The sequence below is a fragment of the Homo sapiens genome, chromosome 4 (genome assembly GCF_000001405.40).
Source record: "Homo sapiens chromosome 4, GRCh38.p14 Primary Assembly".
NCBI lineage: Eukaryota > Metazoa > Chordata > Mammalia > Primates > Hominidae > Homo > Homo sapiens.
Genome location: NC_000004.12, coordinates 102,777,037 through 102,801,012, shown reverse-complemented (window position 1 = coordinate 102,801,012; position 23,976 = coordinate 102,777,037). Strand labels below are relative to the sequence as shown.

The window sequence follows — 23,976 nt, the reverse complement described above, 5'->3', positions numbered from 1 at the left end:
CATGTTTTATGTAACCATGATAGGTTGTTTCTACCTAATGACAGTCTAAAATTATATAATCTTCGAAAGATCTGTAGATCAATTCTGGTCTCTTAATAGGTATCTGTTACGTTATATGTAACAAGTTTTCCGGTCTCCGCATGAATATCCCAGGTGAAGTTGTAATAATTAACACTATTTCACCATTAATTGTTTTTTGATTTTATGAGTTCAGTAAGTACAAAAAAGCTTTTTCAAAAGGCAAGGCATTGTATAAAAGTTTCATATGTGTATATACTGCACTTGAATCTCATGGAGAGAGACTGTAGCAGTAGCATTTCCCAAACTTTATTGAGTAGAATCACTTAAGGGAGAAAAAGAAACAACTTAGGCAGATGCTGCCATAATTCGAGTGTTTTTAAAATTTTACACCTGTTTTTCACCTTCTTGGATGCTTTCTAATTTCTTTTCAAATCATGCTACATACCTAAATATCAGTTTCCAAGTTTTTCTACTACTGCTGGGAGTGTACAGTAACACTGAAAACTGTTTTTGTAAGGGCAGATTGAATTGGTATTGTTTTGTCGTTAAAGCAACTTACTTTTTTGGCAGCCATACTTTGCTAACTTATTAAACTAGCAGTCACAACTGAAGCTACCTTTTTTCTGTGAGTTATTGTATAGCCAAGTCTCCTATATTAGGTAATTTTATATTCTGCTGTATTTGGGGTTTGAAATTAAATTTGCTGTAGTCAATAAATATGTGACAGTGTTGTCTTTTTTATACTATTGCTTTTTTTAAAAAAAAATCGGTCAGAACCATTTCAAGCATTTATATCTTAACATTTTATAACAGCACCACCATATATGGTGACTGGCACATAGCAGGCACTCAAAGTGAATGCGATCTATGTTCCTTAATGCTTGACATCTTATACATCAGTATGTTGAACTGGTTAAGGTAAAAACTAGAGCTGATGACTCACTTAGTACTAAAGAGATTTTGGCATTGTATTTAACTAGTACTCTTGGGAATATGGTTTCTTGCTTACAAGTTCAAGGAGACATTTAGTGGAGCACTTGAGGGTTTTTCTCAGAAATTGCCAAGACAACGGCTAAGAATGGATTTTTCATCATGCCTAATGGCTATGAATATGGCATGAGTGTTACCTGCATATTCTTGCTAAAGTCCCCCCCCCCCCAGCCACTGAGTACCAAGAAACTCAAGTTCTAATATCATTTATGCCTATTTAAAATATATATATTAATATGGCATCAGTTGCCTATCTTAGAAACTATTTTTATGGCTAGTCTGCAGTGAATTTCATGCCACAAAACCCTGTTTTTAGCACTTCTTACTTACCAGGAGCTTGTCTTCTGTGAAACAAAATCTCTGTAAAACTGTGTCTCATTGAGATAAAGATACAAACTAATAAAAGTCTTTTGAGGATTGAGTTTTGTAATACACGGTTTAGAAAAATTTATTTATCCAAACTCCTGAAACTGGGTAACAGATGTTTTTGTTTTCTTGCAGTTCTTTTATCCATTTGTTCACTGCTATGTGATCCAAACCCAGATGACCCCCTAGTGCCAGAGATTGCACGGATCTATAAAACAGACAGAGATAAGTAAGTATGTTAAAAAGTTATTATAAAAGTGGTTTTACTTAATGAGTTAGGCTTATACTTTGCTTGTGACAGTGCCAAGAAGACTTGATATTTAGTAAGATAATAGTTAAAATATGGAGAAAGCTATTGAAATGTGGTTATTTAAAAAAACTTAACTAGGCTTTAGCTTATGTGACAGTGAATGCTCCCCTCTAAAATGTTTTATTGTTGTTTTTTTTTTCCTAGCGTGTTAAACAGTATCACTTTATTCTCAACTTTTGGGGAAGAAAGCAAATTTTTCTTTACCCCAAGCATGTTTTTCCAAAAATGTTAGTACTATTGTAAAAATTTGGTCTAAATTTCTCAAATATTTGAATTATATTTATGTTCAACTTAACCATTATAACTTTCATATGTTATAATTAATGCTAAGTGTACTTGTTCAATTAGGTACAATAGGTTAGCAAGAGAGTGGACAGAGAAATACGCTATGTTGTAGGGTAAGAGGATCTGCACTCTATGGTGCGCTTATTATGGTACTGCCAGCACTTGAGTGCTGCATGCGTTAAGGCACTGTATTAACTAACAAAAGGTAACAAATATGGCAGTCTTCTGAAAACTGTACATTTAACTGCTTGGTCTCTGTTTAACGTGAAAGTAAATATCTGGTAGCCGTTATTGCTTGAAAGTACTGCATGGCAAAGCAGTTACAATAGCACTAGTAAGAAATGGGAATTTATGTAGTATCTTTTTTTTTTTTCAAACTATCATGGTGTTTAAATTTTAGCTTGAGACTTTGTACCAATCCTATACAGAATGTGGTGGTTTAGTTCAAATTTTGCCGGGAGATAGTAATGTAAGGGAAAAACACTTTTAAGCCTAAGCATCTAAACTAAATGTTCATTACTGACAAGCATGCATTAGCGTCAGCTGTACTTTGTGGCTCCCTGTATGCTAAATAAAGCCTTTGTTTTAAAGTGCTGGCTTTTTGAGAGAGTATCCTTAGGAGATGACAATGAATTGGTAGAAAGAACTTTTTAAAAAGTTTAGGAAAGTTGTTGGACCATATTTGGTTCTTGGTTTGAAATAAAGCTAGTTAATATTTAAACAATATAAAAATTCTCCTGTGCATATATATATATATATATTCATTTCTTAAGGTTATCACTGTTTTTTGTTGTTGTAAGTAGTCTATGGCATGAGTATAATCCAGGGGGAAGCTGATAGTATTTATCAATGTTAGTAGTCTTCCTGAGTAATAACCTTGCTTGTGTGTGAATTACCTGTTGATCTTTTTAAACGAAGATGCCCTTGTTGTACTCAACAGGTCTCAGTGGTGCTTATTAGCCTCAGTTACCACACTTATTAAAAGTAACACGTGATTCTGATGAACACAACCACTCACACACACACCCCTTTTGAAAATTACTGCCCTTTGTCATTCTGCCCAGTGTCATCTTCCCCTTCTGCCTCTACCTAAGTCCCAAAGCCATTTTTTCTTGTAATATCCAGGACCAAGTAATTTCCCAAACTCTAGGATTCAGATAAAATTGTTCTAGTAAAAGCCTAGTTCTGGCCTTGGTGGAAATTTCTGTGGATAGATAGAATGTGTATACTATTTTAACATTTGTCCATAATGAACTGTAAAAATTTCTTCACGTTAAAATTAGAGCATGAGCTCGGTGGTAGAGAAAGAAAGGGTCTTTTGATTTTTGTTAGCCTCCCAATTTTCAGTGCTGCTTTCTTAGTTGTTTTTAAAATACTACTTTCAGAGCATCAGGCTCTCATTTCCCACATTGCTTTGAGTACCAGTGCTATTTCTCCCTTGTTGGCTTTTATTCTAATCATAGTCATTAGAGATGACTTCATGATGAGTCTGGAGATGATAAAATGGAAATCTTTCCCTTCCATTTAAAGTATTAGGAATTCTTTATTTTAACTTTTAAAAATAACATCTTTATTTACAGGTACAACAGAATATCTCGGGAATGGACTCAGAAGTATGCCATGTGATGCTACCTTAAAGTCAGAATAACCTGCATTATAGCTGGAATAAACTTTAAATTACTGTTCCTTTTTTGATTTTCTTATCCGGCTGCTCCCCTATCAGACCTCATCTTTTTTAATTTTATTTTTTGTTTACCTCCCTCCATTCATTCACATGCTCATCTGAGAAGACTTAAGTTCTTCCAGCTTTGGACAATAACTGCTTTTAGAAACTGTAAAGTAGTTACAAGAGAACAGTTGCCCAAGACTCAGAATTTTTAAAAAAAAAAATGGAGCATGTGTATTATGTGGCCAATGTCTTCACTCTAACTTGGTTATGAGACTAAAACCATTCCTCACTGCTCTAACATGCTGAAGAAATCATCTGAGGGGGAGGGAGATGGATGCTCAGTTGTCACATCAAAGGATACAGCATTATTCTAGCAGCATCCATTCTTGTTTAAGCCTTCCACTGTTAGAGATTTGAGGTTACATGATATGCTTTATGCTCATAACTGATGTGGCTGGAGAATTGGTATTGAATTTATAGCATCAGCAGAACAGAAAATGTGATGTATTTTATGCATGTCAATAAAGGAATGACCTGTTCTTGTTCTACAGAGAATGGAAATTGGAAGTCAAACACCCTTTGTATTCCAAAATAGGGTCTCAAACATTTTGTAATTTTCATTTAAATTGTTAGGAGGCTTGGAGCTATTAGTTAATCTATCTTCCAATACACTGTTTAATATAGCACTGAATAAATGATGCAAGTTGTCAATGGATGAGTGATCAACTAATAGCTCTGCTAGTAATTGATTTATTTTTCTTCAATAAAGTTGCATAAACCAATGAGTTAGCTGCCTGGATTAATCAGTATGGGAAACAATCTTTTGTAAATGCAAAGCTGTTTTTTGTATATACTGTTGGGATTTGCTTCATTGTTTGACATCAAATGATGATGTAAAGTTCGAAAGAGTGAATATTTTGCCATGTTCAGTTAAAGTGCACAGTCTGTTACAGGTTGACACATTGCTTGACCTGATTTATGCAGAATTAATAAGCTATTTGGATAGTGTAGCTTTAATGTGCTGCACATGATACTGGCAGCCCTAGAGTTCATAGATGGACTTTTGGGACCCAGCAGTTTTGAAATGTGTTTATGGAGTTTAAGAAATTTATTTTCCAGGTGCAGCCCCTGTCTAACTGAAATTTCTCTTCACCTTGTACACTTGACAGCTGAAAAAAAACAACATGGGAGTAATAATGGGTCAAAATTTGCAAAATAAAGTACTGTTTTGGTGTGGGAGTTGTCATGAGGCTGTGTTGAAGTGACTTATCTATGTGGGATATTGAGTATCCATTGAAATGGATTTGTTCAGCCATTTACATTAATGAGCATTTAAATGCAACAGATATCATTTCAGGTGACTTAACATGAATGAATAAAAGTCAATGCTATTGGATTGTTTTTTGTTTGACAAGTGCTATCTGTGCCACTGATTTAACTTCTGTAGTAACAAGGGCATTACCATTCTTCACCTTTCCTAATTCTGATCCCATAGTTTTACATTTTTCCTGTTTATTTTGATTTTGTTCACTGCTTTATTTCTTAAAGTTCTAGCACATCTGTGACTCCTCCACTTCCACATTTTTGCACTGCTTACACTTACGTGCAATCTTATTCCTTGTCTGCACACACATGTGGAAAGCTAGAAATAAATGTTAAAACTTACTTTTTATAAACATTTTAATATGTAGTTTGGACATGATTTATTGACTTAAGGTTCTTCTCTAAACTGGAAGTGAAATGCATGCCTTCTGAAGATGTTCTGGCTTTGTTAATTCTGTAATCATTTCATTGGGGAAAAAACCAGCTACGCAGTTTTTCCAATGAGTGAATTTTTTCATTTTGTGTTTTGCTTAAAACGGCTCCTTCAGGGTAGATGTCATACTGCATAACTTTTTTGGATTCAAATTATGAATGAGAAATTAGTTAACATTCTGCTCCACAAGGTAAGAAAAACTGCTCTTTGGCTCTATTTTCAAAATTACTTCTGAGATGCATATAGTCTCAAAATAACAGCTTTAGTAGGCATATCACTTCTTGAAAGCCAAACATGAGTGTAAGACACTTTTATGAAACACGGTGGATCCCTAACTGGCTTTCAAATTGACCTTTATAGCCTTAGACAACCCTTAGGTATTTACGGAGATGACTTCTTTGATTGTCATAACAATTAGTGGATGTGTCCAGTTCTCTGTATCTTTGACTTGATGCTTTATACATCATTTCATTTGTTGCTTCTAAGGGAATAAGCCATAGAGGCTTCTCCAGGTTTAAAAGAACAGTAAAGTACCTGGAAAACCAACATTTTTGAATGTATGGACACTGGACATGAGATATGTACAATGAAATCTTAAAAGAATCTAAGAATTTGCCCTCTTTGCCCCACTCCACCCAGTAATTTGACATTACTAGTGCCATGTATAGGACCCAACTGAGTATTAGAATCAGTTTTGACTATGTCTTTGTATTTCCTAAATCTTTTAATGCATAAACCGAATTAGGGTCCAGTTGGCCTGTTAATGGTAAATTTACATTTTAAATGACTCAGTTTGTTTTTCCTGGGCGAGTTTGCAATGTGATAATCAGATTTTTTAAAACTGATTAATTTGCTTTCTTGTGTGGGTGTACTCACATTTTAAAGTATGAACCACAGTTAACTAGTGGTCTCAGGGGTAGTGAAACACTCACTTTTTTTTTTGTTTGTTTTTTTTTGTTTGTTGAAATGGCTTAGTTGAAGTATACTTAAGGTACTGATCATGCTGTGTTAGTAATTTGGGCGGGGAGGGGGGTAACTCAGCCATGTTTTGTGTTGGCATAACAAAACTGTTAATGATTGTTGATTACACTTTTAAGTGAATTTGTCTTTTATGAGGAACCCAGTGCAAGTCACTAAATATTGTCTAATAGTGACATCTGCATAAGACTTGTAATAGCTGAAGTTAATTGAGCTTAAAGGAATTGTTACCATTAAAGTCTGTGTTTAAAGACACTTTGGTCTTACTCGGTAATTCCAGCTAACATGAAATCCACACTTGAGCTTAATGTGTGTGAGCTCGATTTTTAATTTTATACAGTTTATGAATAAGGTGGTTCTCAAAATGTTTCTTGAGATAACAATCTCAGCATCATTTAGGAAATTCTTTGTAATATAAGTTGTCAGGCCCCATCCCAGTCCTGAGTCAAACTGGCATGGAGCCCAGTCACCTATATTAAAACACCCTCCAAGTGATTCTGATGAATAGTGAAGATTGAGAACCGTTTTCAGAAGTCTGTTCGTAGCATTCCCTTGTAACAGACTACAACCAGTAATCCTTTGACTCTACAGCTATTTTTTTATAGCTGTTTTTGGCTTTAGAGAATGTGTTTAAGTATTACGTTTCTGATACCTGACAATTTCCTAGTACTTTGAATTGTAATACAGTACATTGATTTCCACATTTACACTTGGAATATTAAAATACATTAACGTCCTACAGTTGGCTAATTTGAATAACCATACTGGCATGGAATTCAACCAATCGTCAAGTATTTAAAAGTAATCAGGTGCAAAGATCTACCTAAGTATTGTGTTGGCTAGCTGAACAAATTTGAACCCAGATCCCATTCTGTGGCCTGACACTAGGCAATTTTTCCAAGTGGAAATGATGCTATGTTAAGGGTGTTTGCAGTGTTTGACAGATATTAAAGGTACCCTAAGGTGACTATTAAGATTTCTCGTGCTGTCCCATTGTAATGGAAAAATCAACGGTTAAAGGTATTTGGAAATGGCTTCAAAACATGACAGTGCCACCCCCTGCCAAAAAAACTTGAGGAACCATTTTAACAAAAAGACTTAAATATATTGAAGTTCGCCGAATGTCTTAAGTCCCTAGAAATTATTACTGTGTTGCATTATTTGTTGCTACCTTATAACTACTTGCTCATTTCTGGCCTCAGGTTTGAAAAATTTTATATGATTCAGGTATACAAGATGTTTCTGACAATTGTTCTTTTACTTGGGATGCTTCCATTAAAGTCCCATTATCAGTATCTAGATCTTCCCAAACTGTATGCTATTTATGAATGAGATTTTTTAAGAGCCCTCTTTTCTGTATTGTAAAAAATATTATGAAATTTACATTTTTACGTACTACTGTCTGATCCTCTATAGAACTTGATTTCTCATTTACCGTATCAAATTTGTAGTCAAGGCTAAACAATGAACTTTCATGTCATACTATCTTAGGAGCCCAGTTAACCACCGTCATTTACTAACCTTCAAGCTATTTCTCCTGAGCTCCCATATAGCTTCTATTCATTATCCACATGACAAGCTAAAGGGCGTCTTTTAAAATGTCTAAAACTGGACATATGTCTATAAAGACATACACATATACATATACTATTACCCCATGCTCAGTAAATGTCAACATTAAATTGCAATGGCCTAAAACCTAGGCACCATCTTTGACTTTTCACACTCCACCTTCAATCAGACTTAACAGCAGCCTTTAGAATCTGCCCATTTATCATGTTGACTGTTAGCACTATGATCTAAAGCTATATCATTTCTTATTTGGATTATTGGAGTAGCCTCCTGAGTGATCTCCCCACGTTGCAGCAATCTGTCTGTCCCACACACAACCCCTTTAAACCTTATCAGATGGCATGGCTTTCCTCCAAACCTAATGGTTTCCCATCTCATTCGGAGTAAAAACACAAGGTATTAAAAGTAATCTACAAGGCTGTAGATAACTTTCTTCCCTACCTTTGCCTCAGCTTAATCCCCAATTCCTTGCTTGTCTCACCACCATTCCAACTCTCTCAGCTCAGTCACATGGGACTGCTGAGACTTGCAAAGATGTGTGAAGATGTTTACTCTTGTTCTTACCTTTGCCTAGGATGATCTTACCCCACATACCATACAGCTTCCTTTTCCCTAACTAGGTCTCTATTCAAATACCTTATCAGAGTGGTTTTTCTTGACTATTCTATAAATACACCAACACAGCATCACCTCTATAGAGTACATCATGGCATATTCAGTATTATCTATCTTATAGGTAATAATTGTCTCACCCTCAGCGCCACCCCAGTTCTATGAGGACAGATTTTTTTTCTCTTATTTATCAATGACGAGATGACTACTTGCAACATTTTAGGTGATCAAATATTTAACACAAATGACTGGGCCAAATGGTAGTCTGTCAAAGGTACATGTACTTACTCGTCATTTGTATATCTTCTTAGGGAAAATGTTTAATCTTTTGCTTGCTTCATTTCTAACTCCAAAAGAACAAAGAAAACTAATATACTATTAAAAATTTGTTAATCAGACCTTCTTTATTGTAAGTAAAATAATGCAGTTCAGATTCTGTCAGCCTGGATGATTACCCTGATAAATCCTTTGAAAAAGCAACCACTTGCTGGGGGAAAACTTTTTTTTTTTTTTTCGATGTGTCAATGTTCTATCAAGAAAGGAAGGAGTACTCTCACCAAAACCAAACTGAAACCAAGAACCCAGAAGAAAACAGAACATACCCAGAACCAGCTTGCATTGCATTTTGAAAACACTTGAAGTACCTACCCCAAGTGAACTTTTTTCATTTTTTCTACAAGACAGGGTCTTGCTGTATCACCCAGGCTGGAGTGCAGTGATACACCCCTCGACCTCCTGGACTCAAGCAATCCTCCCACCTCAGCCTCCTGAGTAGTTGGGGCTACTCGCCATGTTGCCCAGACTGTTCTTGAACTCCTGGGCTCAAGACCATTCGCCACGGCCTCCCAAAGTGCTGGGGTTACAGGCGTGAACCATCATGCCCAGCTGACCTTTAATTTTCATGACTCTGGCAAAGCCCAGGATGCACCCAAAAGTGGTGTCAAATACGAGAAACCCATTCCTAGTACAACTAGGACTCTACCTATCTTGAAACTTGGTGCTCTGTGACAGGAGAATATTGCGAGAATTTGTAATAACAGTTTGGGCTTTGTGAAGATTTGCAGGCTTAGGTGGTCCCAGGAAATTCAAGCAGAGGATTTAATTTTTAGAGTGATTCCAAATTAGTAAAACAACCAGCTACTGGCAGAAGCAAACACTGTAGGAATTGCATAATAGCTCACATTTTAAAACCAGCAAGAAAAAGTACAAGGTAATGTAGCACCATGAGTTGCCAACCAATTTGCAAGAATCAAAACATTAAATATCAATATTTTAAAAATATTAGTCAAATTGTAAAGGAAGACTAAATAAGTGACATCTTGTATATGGAAAATCCTAAATCATAAAAACCACTTAGCGCTCATAGAATTAGGCAAATTTGCAGGATACAAGATTGGCACAGAGAAATCAGTTGTATTTCTGTAAATAATTATTAATTCTAAGCAATCCATAAATGATGTTAAGAAAGTTCCATATACAATAGCATCAAAAAGAATAGGGGCCCAGTGCAGTGGCTCACACCTATAATCCCAGCACTTTCGGAGGTCGAGGCGTGCAGATCACGAGGTCAGCAGTTTGAGACCAGCCTGGCCAACTTGGTGAAACCCCATCTCCACTAAAAATACAAAAAAAATAAAATAGCTGGGTGTGGTGACGTGCACCTGTAGTCCCAGCTACTCGGGAGGCTGAGCCAGGAGAATTGCTTAAACCTGGGAGGCAGAGGTTGCAGTCAGCCGACATCATGCCACTGCACTCCAGCCTGGGTGACAGAGTGAGACTCTATTTCAAAAAAAGAAAAAATTAATAAGGGAAATGCAAAAACATGTACACTGAAAACTATCAAACTTCTGAAAGAGAAGTCCTGAATAAATGAAAAGACATCCTGTGTTCATGGATTTGAAGATTTAATATGCTGAAATGACAGTGATTCTCAAAGCAATCTACACATTCAATGCAACCCCTATCAAAATCCCAATGACTGTTTTGCAGAAATGATAAAGTGTAAAAATTCATACGGAATTGCAAAGGACTGCAAGGAGCTAAACAATCTTTAAAAAGAATGAAAGTAAGGAACTCATACTTCCCTATTTCAAAAGTTAATACAAAGCTACAGTAATCAAAATAGCATACACAGGAACACATAGACTCATGGAATAGAATTGAGAGGCCAGAAATTGTCATACATTTACGGTCAGTTGATGTTTGACAAAGATGACAAGACCATTCAATGGGAAACAATAGTCTCTTTAACAATATGGTGTAGAGACAACCAGATATCTACATGCAAAAGAATGAATTTGGACCCCTACCTCACATCTTATGCAAAAATTAAAATGGATCAAAGTCACAAATGTAAGAGCTACTAAAACCATAAAACTCTTAGAAGAAAATGAGAGTGTATCTTTGTGTTCTTAGATTTGGCAATACTTAGAGATGACACCAAAAGCACAAACAACCAAAGGAAAAAGATAAATTGGACTTCATTAAGATTATAAACGTGTGTCAAAAGACATTATAAAAATGAAAGGATAACCTACAGAATGGACACAAATTTTCAAATCATCTATGATTAGGCTCTAGTATTCAGAATAAAGAATTTTTAAAACTCAACAAGAAGATGACCCTATTTAAAAACAGGCAAAAGATTTAAACATTTTCCCAAATAAGATAAACAGATGGCCAGTAAGTAAATGAAAAGATGTTCAACATACTAGTTATTAGAGAAATGCAAGTCCAAACCACAATGATGTATCACTTTTTACCCCATAGAATAGCTGTAAAATTTTAAAATAGAAAATGTGCTGGTGAGGATTTTGTGAAACTGGAAACCTGGTACAATGCTGGTGGGAATGTAAGATGGTGCAGCTTCTGTGGAAAGCAGTTTGGCAGTTCCCCAAAAAGTTGAACATAGAATTATTGTATGACTCAGCAATTTCATTCCTGGTTACGTACCCAAAACAACTGAAAACAGGTATTCAAACAAATACTTGTAAATGAATGTTCATAGCAGCACTCACTATTCACAATAGCCAAAAGATGGAAACAATGAAACAAATTGTGGTATTTCCGTACGATGGTATATTATTCAGCCACATGAAAGATTGTAGTATTGATGCATGCTATAATGTGGATGGGCCTTAAAAACATTTTGCTAAAAGAAAGGAGCAAAACATAAAAGGTCACATATTGTATAATTTCATTTATATGAATATCCAGAATAGTTCTATAGAGACAGAAAGCAGATTCAGCTACTAGGAAGATAGGGAAATGGGGAATGACTGCTTGATGGGTATGTAGTCTCTTGTGGGTGGTGAAAATGTCTTGGAACTAGAAGTTATGGCTATACAACATTGTGAACACATGAAATTACACTGAATTGTGCATTTTACAATAGTTAATATGTGAATTTCACCTTAAAATATCAGTGACAAAAGATAGTAATAACCAACATTTATGTAATACTTTTAAGTGTCAAGCACTTTTCTAAATTCTTCAGACACGCACGTGCGCGCGCACACACACACACACACACACAGATATTTTATTTATTTTTTGAGACGGAGTTTCGCTGCTGTTGCCCAGGCTGGAGTGCAATGGTATGATCTCGGCTCACTGCAACCTCTGCCTCCCAGGTTCAAGCGATTCTCCTGCCTCAGCCTCCCAAGTAGCTGGGATTACAGGTGCTTGCCACCACGCCTGGCTAATTTTTTGTATTTTTAGTAGAAATGGGGTTTCACCATGTTAGCCAGGCTGGTCTCAAACTCCTGACCTCAGGTGACCCGCCCCCCTCGGCCTCCCAAAGTGCTGGGATTACAGGCAGGAGCCACTGCACCCGGCCAATTCTTTACATAATATTAACTCTTAATTCTGATAACAAACTTGTGTACTTATTTAAATGCTTATATTATTTCTATTTTATAGATGAAGCAACTGAGGAAAAGAGGTTATTATTTGCCCAAAGTTACTCATCTAATGGTAGAGGTTGGGATTTAAATCTAGATAATCAGATTCCAGAATCTTACCTCTCTATCATTATGGGTGAAATAAAATAAGTTTAAAATATGAATAAAGAGCAAGAGGCTATTAAAATGATCAATCAGATTTGAAAAATAACCAAAAGCAGTACTTCCAGAATTTAGAAAACAAACTAATTAAAACTTAAGGATAGGTTTAATAGCCTAGTTGACACAGCTAAGTAAAGAATTAGAGGAATGAAAGATATGAGAAAATCATTCTGAATGTAGCACGAAGATGAAGATGAAAGTAACAGCTTAAGAACCATGGAAAAATAACTTGGTCTAACACATGGCTAATTGGAGCTTGAATTCGAATTCAATTTACTGCTTCCAGGCTCCAAATGCGCCTTTCAATAAAGTAGTTCCTCATTATCCTTGGGAGATACATTGCAAGACCCCTAGTAGATAATTGAAACCACAGATAGAACTAAACCCACTATACACTATGTTTTTTCCTATATATATATATGATAAAGTTTATAAGTTAGCCACAGAGATTAATAATAAAATACAGCAATTATAACAATATACTGTAATAAGATGAATGTGAACTCTCAATACATCTTATTGTACTGTACTAACCCTTCTTGTGATTATATGAGATAAAATGCCTAAATGAAGTGAATGACATAAGCATGATGACATAAATGAATAATTCCAGAAATAAACAATTCATGTTTTAAATTGCACTGTGTTCTCAGTAACATGATGAAATCTCATGCCATCCCACTCCTTCCTGCTCAGATTTCTGTTAGTCACTTAGTAGCCATCTTGGTAATCACATGGACTATCACAGTATTACAGTGCTGTGTTCAAATAACTTTTTTTACTTAATAATGTTCCCAAAGCACAAGAGTAGAGACGTAATATTTTCACACCATGGTGAATCATGGGTAAGAAAAACTGTAGAAAATGAAACCATAGATAAAGGGATACTACAGATGGTGTTTGACTTACAATGGTTCGACTTACAATTTTTTGACTTCATGATGATGCAAAATGATACGCATTCAGTAAAAGCCATACTTTTGAGTAGCCATACAATTTTTCTGTTTTTTCCTTTTCTTTTTTTTTTTCTTGTTTGAAACACTCTGTCACCCAGGCCGGAGTGCAGTGGTGCGATCATGGCTCACTGCAGACTTCACCTCCTGGGCTCAAGCAGTCTTCCCACCTCACCCTCCCGAGTAGCCGGGACCACAAGCACATGCACTGCACCCAACTAATTTTTGTTTTTATATTTTTTGTAGAGACAGTGTCTCCCAATGTTGCCTAGGCTGGTCTTGAACTCCTGGGCTCAAACAAGTCTCCTGCCTCAGTCTCCAAAAGTGCTAGGATTACAGGTATGAGCCACAGCACCCGGCCCTGTTTTCCATTTTCAATGTAGTATTCGATAAATTACATGAGGCAGTCAACACTTTACTATAAAATAGCCTACAGTAAGATAAAATAATCCAAAACAAGTCTAATGTTAAGTGTTCAGAGCACATTTAAAGTAGGCTAGGCTAAGCTATGATGTTTGGTAGCTTAAGTGTATTAAATGCATTTTTGACTTATGATATTTTGTATTTACAATGAGTTCATTGAAATGTAACCCCATCATAAGTCAAGGAACATCTGTTACTGTATATCTTCTGTGATAGGCAACTGAATTTTTTTCAGAGTCCCTCCTTTAACGTGGGCACGATGTTAATCTTTCTAAGTAAAGGGCATTGGAGGAATACTACAGAGGAAGAGGTTCTCCTGCTATTCCTGTTATGGGCTGAGGGTTGGCTAGTGTGAGTATGAAGACAACCAGTAAATATCCACAGGCCCAAAACACAATCTGTCTGTGACCTTGCAGCTTTGGCCTGCTGATAACCTTTTTGCACCCCTCTTCACAAGGAAACCAAAGCTCTTGCATGGCCTGCACTGACGTTTGTGGCCTGGAGACTCACACATCTGAAGTCACTCTTTACCAGCCTCTGCACAACCTGTGCATAGCTCACCTGTGGCCCAGTGCTCTACACAGATCTACCAGTCCCTCTGCAACTTCCTGTGCAGCCTAAATGCTCTGGATGCATTCCACCCTATGAGTGGTAGATTATTTAATAATATTATTTCAGTGTTGGTTAATTACATTTGATTATTCTATGAATATGTAATATGTTGATATTAGGGGAATCTGGTCAGTGTGTATAGGGGAAATTTCTGTACTAATTTTGTGGATTCTTCTATAAGTCCGAAATTATCTCAAAATAAAAAGCCTTTTAAAATGTAGGGTAAACACAAAAAATAGAAAAGGTGCATAATTTCTAAATTAGAAGAGAAGAAATCAATAGACAAAGGAGAAAAAAAGGCAAATGAGAGAGATCTAGAGATGGCAGGACAAGTAGAAGGCACAATATGGTAGGTAAAATTCCAAATTGTATAAGTAATTATTCAAAAAGTAATTGGGGCCAGGTGCGGTTGTTCACACCTGTAATCCCAGCACTTTGGAAGTCCGAGGCTGGAGGATTGCTTAAGCCTGGGAGTTTGAGACAAGCCTGGGCAACATAGAGAAACCCCATCTCTACAAAAAAATACAGAAATATTAGCCAGGCATGGTAGCATGCACCTGTGGTCCCAGCTACTTGGGCTGAAGTGGGAGCATCACCTGAGCCTGGGGAGGTTGAGGCTGCAGTGAGTCATGATTGCACTACTGCACTACTGCACTCCAGCCTAGGCGACAGGGTGAGACCCTGCCAATAAATAAACATAATAAATAAATGTAACTGGATTAAATTATCCAATCAAAGTACAAAGATTTTCAGACTCAATAAAAATTCAAAATACAGCTCTATGTTGTTTTTTAAGTAAATAAAATATAAGTAGACAGAAAACTTGAGGCCCAAGGGGAGAGGGATTTTTCTCTTGCTTTGTTTACTGCTGAATCTCTGTTGCCTACAGCTGTGCTTTCCAGTATGAGGGTCACTAGCCTTATATGGCTACTGAGCACTTGAAATGTGGCTAGTGTCACATTTTAAAATTAAAAACTGAAGAAAAGTAGCATGTTTTCCATGAAACCCAACTTTACAGTTTGGTTAGGGCAACATTTCACTTTAACCATTGCATCATATAAGACATTGTTATACAGTGTATGTTGAGCATGTAGGTCAACTCTAGTATTACATATAAATATATCATCAATATTGTCAGTTACAGGTTTTTCAATTTGGATGTTTTGTTCCTATGCACTGATTTATTTAAATATTTTTGCAGACAGTGAAAGTTACAAAGATATAAATTTTAATTGGTAATAAAATTTAAATACTTATTTTAATTATATCATCAAATTATTTTCTCTAGCTTAAAAAATAGGCCAGGCATGGTGGCTCACTCCTATAATCCCAACACCTTGGGAGGCCAAGGCGGGCAAACCACCTAAGGTCAGGAGTTCGAGAGCAGCCTGGCCAACATCTACTAAAAATAAAAAAAAATAGCCAGGCGTGGTGGCACGTGCCTGTAGTCCCAGCTACTAGGGAGGCTGAGGCAGGAGAATTGCTTGAACCTGGGAGGCAGAGGTTGCAGTGAGCCAAGAGCATGCCACTGCACTCCAGCCTGGACAACAGACTGAGACTCTGTCTCCAAAAAATAATAATAATACGAAGAAGAAGAAGGAGGAGGAGGAGGAGGAGGTTGGGGTGGGGGGAGGAGGTGGAGGAGGAGGAGGTGGTGGAGGCTGGGTGTGGTGGCTCACGTCTGTAATTCCAGCACTTTGGGAGGCCGTGGCAGGCGGATCACCTGAGATCAGGAGTTCAAGACTAGCCTGCCCAACATGGCAAAACCCCATCTCTACTAAAAATACAAAAAATGAGCCGGGTGTGGTGTTAGGTGTCTGTAATCCCAGCTACTCAGGAGGCTGAGGCCAGAGAATCACTTGAACCCAGGAGGTGGAGGTTACAGTGAGCTGACATCGCCACTCCACTCCAGCCTGGGCGACAAGAGTGAAACTCCGTCTCATAAAAAAAAAAAAAAAGAAGAGGAAGAACAAATTTTTACATTTAAATTGGATTCAGTGGAGATGTCAAAGGTACTACTATGACTGGAATGAATAAACGGTCTGGAAGAGGGTATGTTACAAAATTCACAATGAATGGCAATTGCAATTTATTAGGGCAGAGCAAAATGAAAAGACTTTTTATCTGTTGTATAACAATATTAAGATTATAAAATACACAGTCATGAGAGACATTTTTAGCAAAAACATAGTAAATATCATAAGAACTTTCCTCTCAGCAGTCAAAAAGAATTGATCAAATTAATTGCCTGAATTCAGAATTAAAAGTACAACAAAAAAATTTAAATGATATCTGACAGGATCCAAGTTTGTAAATATGGCCAGTTATAAAAGGTCTTGGATTCTTACACACACACACACACACACACACACCCTCTAACAATTTTTTTAGATGGAGAGATTGTAAAATAAACTATTATATCATTTATGGAAATGTTAGAAAATTATGAAGAAATGGCTAAAAACAATATTTTTAAAAAGTAAAAGATTTTCAATTAAATTATCAAACAAGTGTCTGTAGAATGCAGTATCTTTTTAACTATCAAAAATCAATTGATTCAAAATTTAAAATGTTGCAAATAGGTTTCTTTAGCTATAGACAAATCAGGTAATATAAGAAATACTGCCCATATTTGGGTATGTTGTGTCTCAAAGAACTTCCAAATTTACAGAGAAATATCAATTCATGGCCTAAGAATCAAACTCATGATGCGGTTTGTTTATTTGTTTGTTTGTTTTTGAGACGGAGTCTCACTCTGTCACCTAGGCTGAAGTGCAGTGGCGGGATCTTGGCTTACTACAGCCTCTGCCTCCCAGGTTCAAGCAATTCTCCCGCCTCAGCCTCCCTAGTAGCTGGGACTACAGGCACGCACCACCATGCCCAGCTAAGTTTTGTATTTTTAGTAGAGGTGGAGTTTCACCATGTTGGCCAGGCTGGTCTCGAACTGCTGACCTCAAGTGATCTGCCTGCCTCTGCCTCCCAAAGTGCTGGGATTACAGGCATGAGTCACCGCACCCAGCCAATTCTTTTTTTTTTTTTATTTTTACAGTTGTTGGAAAATAATTTAAAGGAAAAAAAGTTAATTTATATCATCAGAGACAAAGCTCTAGCTAAGTTAGGTCAAAATCTAAATTTATTGGCATTTTGAAATAAGTGACTCATGATTTCTTATTGCTTCATTCCACTGTATGATAGATATTAAAAATATCTGGGCTCAATTTTCTGAAGCAAACTCTATGAAGAGGTAATGGATATAGTTATTGAAATTATTCCGTGTATCCATGCAAATTCTGTGAGTCATTGCCAGTTTATGAAACAATTGAAAGAAATAGAAGAGAATGAATTTAGCTATCTTGTGTTCTTTCTCAATATTCATTGGTTGAGTTATGGAAGAGTTCTATAAACATTACAAAGTTGTACAAATATTCCATAATCAAAGAGAAAAATACAGCCGTGTGATTTATGCTTTCTTATCAATATCACAGTGCATGTGAACAAACTAAATTTGAAACTCCAAGAAAATCAAAAGCTCGTGACCTATTTAGACAAGTACAAGGATTTATATTGAAATTTAAACTTTTGGTAATACAAACCAATAATAATGATTTTACGCATTTTTAAAAGAGTTTACATTTTCTAACAAATCAGTATGCAGGAGATTTTAATTAAATCAAAAGTATTATATAAATTAACAGTAAGAACTACAAGAAAAATTTGAACACTATTGATATTGAGAGAAATTTCAAGTTGCTTTTCAATTTATGAAATACTCTTTTTGAATTCAATATCAATACCACTGAGTCAACGTAAGATTTAGTGAATGTACTTTACTTGAACACATAGTTTTGAAATTGATATGCTTTTGCTTTCAAAGTCAAATCAATTATTTTCTAAAAAATATGAGGCAGTTTTTTTTTTAATATGGATGTGACTGTTAAAGGAAAGTGATTTTTTTTTTCTGGTACTCAATTTAGGTTACTGGAAAACTTTCAAGTATTTTTGTGTCAAGAACTGTAAGTGGTCTGAGATTGTACCCTGCTTATAAGATAAATCAACCTTCCACAGTTTTATAGATACTGGTAAAAAGGCACAGAACCCCTGGGTTCAAGACAAAGGAGTATTATTAATCACAGCAATAGCAATAGTCAGAGAATCAGTATTTCTTTGAACCAATTTCTGCCTGATTCCTACAGAGCAATACAAAGAGGGTCAAATGACATCTGTATACACAGCTGATTGTCTTATAGGTAAGGAATCCTTAGTTCAGGGAACCTAAATATTTTACAATGGTGGTAAACAATGCAAAGCAGCTTCACTGTACACTGGTTACCAACTTACCTGAGTTAAGAAATAACACACTCATATGCCACTAGTTACATGAAATGATTTATTAATTGCAGATAGGCAGCAAGAGACAAAAGAAGCCCAGGATCCATTGTGAGCCAGTCCTTGAAAGCTCTATTTACCTAGGGCAAATAGAGTCTCAACAATGTGTGCCCTACTTGCACCACAGCTGAGGGACCCTGAAAGGCAGCCCACCTTGGGTTATATACTTTGGGGTCATAACACACAGGGCCAGAGCTTTGAAGGACATCCTGTTCTGAGGGCTAGGGAAGAGAGACTATAATAGAGCCTACACAGTCCCTCCTCATCTTAGAGTGTTGCATTCCCAGTACATTCTACAGTCACTTTTTGAGGACTACAAGCCAGAAAGGAGGAGGAACTGGGTGGCATAACGCTACCTGGAGAACTGTCCTGCAAGCACAGCTGCACATTAACTTTATGATCTGGACAATAAGCATACCTACCTCATGCTTCAGAGGGAGACACTATGTCAGTCTTCCAAGGCTATTTGATATACAGACATCCTTTAAAGATAGTTCAGAACAAAGACAACCAGTGCCTCTGCTCACAAGATGTTCGGAAATATGAGAGACCCATGGAGAATTGTCTCCCAATATTTTGGAACAACTTGGGAATGTGAATCTTTTTTATTGTAAAATTTATGAAATCTAATATAAATCAAGTATTTCCAATGATAAGTTAACATTCAAATTGAGATATACTGTAAGTATAAAATTCACAATAGACTTTGAAACCTTAATATAAAAAAACTATTTCATTATTATATTAAATATGTGTTGAAATGACAACATATTAGGTATATTGGTTTAAGTAAAATTAATTTCACCTGTTTACTTTTTAAAATGTGACTACTAGAAATTTAAAAATTTTATATGACACTCATATTGTTTCTATTGAACAGCTCAGCCTCAGGCTGTCTAATTTTTACTGGACAGCCCTAGAATGATTGAATGACTAAAGACTAGAAGTTGGAAGGGGCCTTTGCCTGAGTCCTCTGGAAAATAGAGACTCAAACAAAGCTTAATTGTTAATATTTTGGGGGGCGAGGTTCCATCTCAGAATAGTAAGAGTGTAAGAAAAGGGAAGTGAGGCTGAGAAAGAGGGGAAGAACATTTGGGCAGTTACTGGAAAAGCCCGATCCCATTTGCTGTGGCATGGAACTTCATCTGAGTCTGTAATTTCCCGACGACAATTAACACTGGGCATGGAAATGGTAAGAGATGCTCCACTGACTCCCTTCGGTTCCAGACATATCCTCCCTGCTTTAATTAGGTAGTAGTAACTCTAGCTCAGAGTTCATTACCCTAGCCAGTGCATTAACTCCATTTTTCACCTGTTTGCTCAATAGAATGAGTAACCCAAAGTGACTCCACTTGTTACACTTATTAGTCATAACTTCTAATTGGGTGGAACTCTATACCTCCTAACCTAGCCTAGTCAGCAGTTTCAGGGTCAGGATTATCTCCAGCAGTAGCAGATCTGCTGATGTCATGACACAAGTGTTTGAACAGCTTGCATGATTGTCTTGACCTGCTTGTAGTTCTGGTCCCCACTCAAAGTATATAGTATTTGCTTTCTCCAAAATCCAAAGAAACCCAGAAACCATTATGCCTCTTTCTTTTTCTTTCTTTCCCTCCCCTCTCCTCTTCCCTCCCCTCCCCTCCCCTCCTCTTCTTCCCTTTCCTTCTTTTTTTTTTTAAGACAGGGTCTTGCTTTGTCACCCAGGCTGGAGTGCAAGTGCAATCACAGCTCACTGCTCACTGCAAACTACACTTCCCAGGCTTAAGCAATCCTTCCACCTCAGCCTCCCAAGTAGCTGGGACTACAGGTGCACACTACCATGCCTGGCAAATTTTTGTATTTTTTGTGGAGACAGAGTTTTGCCATGTTGTCCAGGCTAGTCTTAAACTCCTACGCTCAAGTGAGTTTAAGTCTTAAACTCCTACTCCTCCAGCCTTGGCCTCCCAAAGTGCTGGGATTACAGGTGTGAGCCACCATGCTTGGCCTATGCCTCTTTATTTATCATAGATGGCGCAATATTCTACCACCCGTCTTTACCTTATAACACATGTATTGGATTGTTGTATTCTTCAAAATTTCAACAATATGGTAGGCCTCTGAATCTCTATGGAATTATTTCTCACTATGTACTTACTTGGGCATGTAGGGTATTTGCCACTTCTTGCTCATAAGTCACATTAGCATCATGCCACTCATGTAGTCGACCAGAATTATGTTTTGCAGAATGTCAAGATGAAGTTACCTGAAAATGATGACGGAACAAGAGAAGGAGAAAGCAGCCTGGATCACATATCGGCTTTGGCCTGCTTCTTTCCTGTTCTATGGCTGTGACCTGTACCCTCCCGGAACCCTCCTTGGAAGGAACAACTTGGCTAACCTGATTAATGCTTAGCTGCCAAAAGATTGAGTTCTCAATGAAAATCATATGGTAATTTTAGTAATACCTTTGTGTATGACCTTGAAAAATACAGACACAAATTTCTAATGCATTTGAGGAAGTAATAAAGTTTTAAAGAGTTAGAGGGTGAGGGAAGGAAGCAGCTTTTTTTATCTGAAACTTGGCTGTCAATGATACAGAAGGGCTGGGCTCCCAGCTAAACCCCACCCATATGCCTGAAACTGCGGCCCCAAGTGAAAACAGCTGACCCCGTTTTTCTGCCCAAATGTTACCTTTTTGGCCTGCCATGCTCCTATCCTGTGCCCATAGAAGACTTCAGCTGGCAGAGCAACACAAGTGGCTGAGCAGCGAGCAGAGAAGCAACTGAACGTTGGAGACTATGGATAGATGTGGCTAACTTCAGACAGGGCTGCTTCAGAGAGGGGCAGCCGGGCTTCAGGGAGAGAGAGATCATTTTCCCGACCGCTTTTCAGTCTCCTTTTCTGCTGAGAGCCAACCACTGCTCAATAAAGTCTTCTGCATTCATCAACCTCTCAAACAGTTCATGTGACTTGATTCTTCCTGGATGCTGGACAAGAACCTGGGTGCTGAGAGGTCAGAGGCTGCCACCTTGACCCTCCAGTGAGCTGGTTGGCACTCCCCTGTCCCTGGACGGCTGATCTGACAGAGTATTGGTCATAACATGCTTGGACTCTGGCCAGTTCCAGTGTTTGTTCGCTTCAGTTCCTGCACTTGCTCGCTCGCACCCTCCCTCCTGAGCGGAGGAGTGGCCAGCGGTGGGCAGAGTGAAAGAACCACTCCAGTTCCTGCCTGCGAAGGGGGTAAACAAAGTATCCCATCACATCAAGATACCTCTGAATATGAACAGCTAGGAATCTGATGGCTGCAAAGATGACTATTACCCAAATTGTGAAGAAGAGAAAGAGAAGGAAAACCAGAACCCTGAAGATAGACAAAATTATTATGTGCAAGTAGCCAATGACATGAGGCAGCAGGAATTTGACACTTTTGATAATGAGGCATACCAGTGGTCATCATCCCAACCTACAGGAGTTCAAGGGCATCCTAAACAAGTACATAGCCATATTAGTCTTAATGCTACTATAGGAAATTATATAGGAAAGAAAAATCTTTTCAATAAATGGTGCTGGAAAAATTAGATGGACATATGGAAAAAGATTAGTCTCAATCCTTACCTCATGCTACACAAAAAACTAATTTTGAGATGCATCATGGACCTAAACTCAAAAGCTAAAACTAAAAGGCTTCTAGAGAAAAACAGAAGAATATCTTCATGACTGTGGGGTTGGCAAAGATTTTTTTCCATGAGACCGAAAAGTACCAACCTCAAAAAAACTAACACATTGGGTTTAATCAAAATGTAAAACCATAAGAGACACCGTTAAGCAAATGAATAAACAAGCCAGGACCAAAAGAAAATATTTGTAATACATACATCTGACAAAGGATGTGTATCTAGGGGATGGAAAGAATTCTTACAACTCAGTAATAAAGATAACTCAGTTTTAAAATTTGTCAAAGTGACATTTGTAAGCAAAAAAAAGAAGCTCAACTTAAAACGCATACTTTATGCAAAAATTAACTCATGAACTTATATGTAAAATATAAAACCATAAAATGTTTAGGAAAAAATAGAAATTTCAGGACTTAGGACTAGCAAATAATTCTTTGACGTGACATACATCTTCCTCTTGCACAATCTGTAAAAGAAAAAATTGACAAATTGGATCCACTGTAAATGAGAAAGAGACTTAGGCAAACATTTTAGAAAAGAAAAAAATACAAATGACCAAAAAGCACATGAAATGGTAGTTACACAAGTATGTACATTTGCTAAAACTCATCAAATTGTACACTTAAGATGTGTGAATTTCAATGTATATAAACTAGTCTTCAATAAAAATAAATTTTAAAAAAGAATATTTTTATAAGTTGAACAGAGAAGCAATATTCATGTTGATAAAGATCAATTATTTCCCTTCCTACCTAACACTCACTGTCAGAATCATAACTGTGAGATTCAGAAAAACAAAGATAAAGAGGACACTCTAAAAGTTTCCAGGAAGAATTTCTAGTTCTTCTTAAAAAAAGAAAAGAAGGAAGGAAGGAGGGAAAGAAAAATAAGCAAATAAAGAAAGGGGGAAAAAATCAGACATCTCATCAGCCATAATGAAAGCTAGAATATGGTAGGGTAAAGGTCTTCAAGGTTTAAAAAAAAATAATTCCTCTTGAACCTAGAATTATTTACTCAGTCAAACTATCAACAAAGTGTAGTGTCAAAATAAATTCATTTTAAGACATAAAGGGATTCCTGAAATCTACATTACTCGTACCTTAAAATAATTTTTTCAAATTAAGATATAATTCACATACCATGAAGTCTACCATTTTAAAGGGTACAATTCAGTCGATGTTAATATATTCACGAGGTTGGGCAATCATCTCCAGTATCTCTTTCCAAAACATTTCATCACATTATAAACACCGTACCAATTAGCAGCCATTCCCATTCCTCCAATACCCAACCACTGGCAAGCACTTATCTCTTTTCTGTTTCTAT

At 36.9% G+C, this 23,976-nt stretch overlaps 1 protein-coding gene and 2 long non-coding RNA genes across 13 annotated transcripts in view; 2 read left to right on the top strand and 1 right to left on the bottom strand.

Moving 5' to 3' along the window:
* UBE2D3 (ubiquitin conjugating enzyme E2 D3) overlaps window positions 1-6,630 on the top strand; it is a 74,513-nt gene extending 67,883 nt beyond the window's left edge. For 10 of the 11 annotated variants that reach the window (NM_181893.3, NM_181890.3, NM_181889.2 and 7 more), the window contains 2 exons: window positions 1,513-1,606; window positions 3,553-6,630. In NM_181893.3, coding sequence (NP_871622.1) covers window positions 1,513-1,606; window positions 3,553-3,598 — 140 coding nt within the window. In that variant the 3' untranslated portion in view covers window positions 3,599-6,630. Of the gene's footprint in view, window positions 1-1,512; window positions 1,607-2,035; window positions 2,086-3,552 lie in introns of all 11 variants that reach the window. The other variant, NM_181892.4, reaches the window with a different exon arrangement.
* Window positions 1,438-23,976, bottom strand: LOC102723704 (uncharacterized). The gene is made up of 5 exons (NR_125932.1): window positions 23,790-23,976; window positions 22,592-23,116; window positions 21,668-22,205; window positions 21,132-21,239; window positions 1,438-1,585 (listed from the first exon to the last, which is right to left on the bottom strand). It is a non-coding gene; the product is annotated as an uncharacterized LOC102723704 (long non-coding RNA).
* On the top strand, window positions 13,887-22,927 carry LOC124900743 (uncharacterized). The gene is made up of 2 exons (XR_007058208.1): window positions 13,887-14,650; window positions 21,221-22,927. It is a non-coding gene; the product is annotated as an uncharacterized LOC124900743 (long non-coding RNA).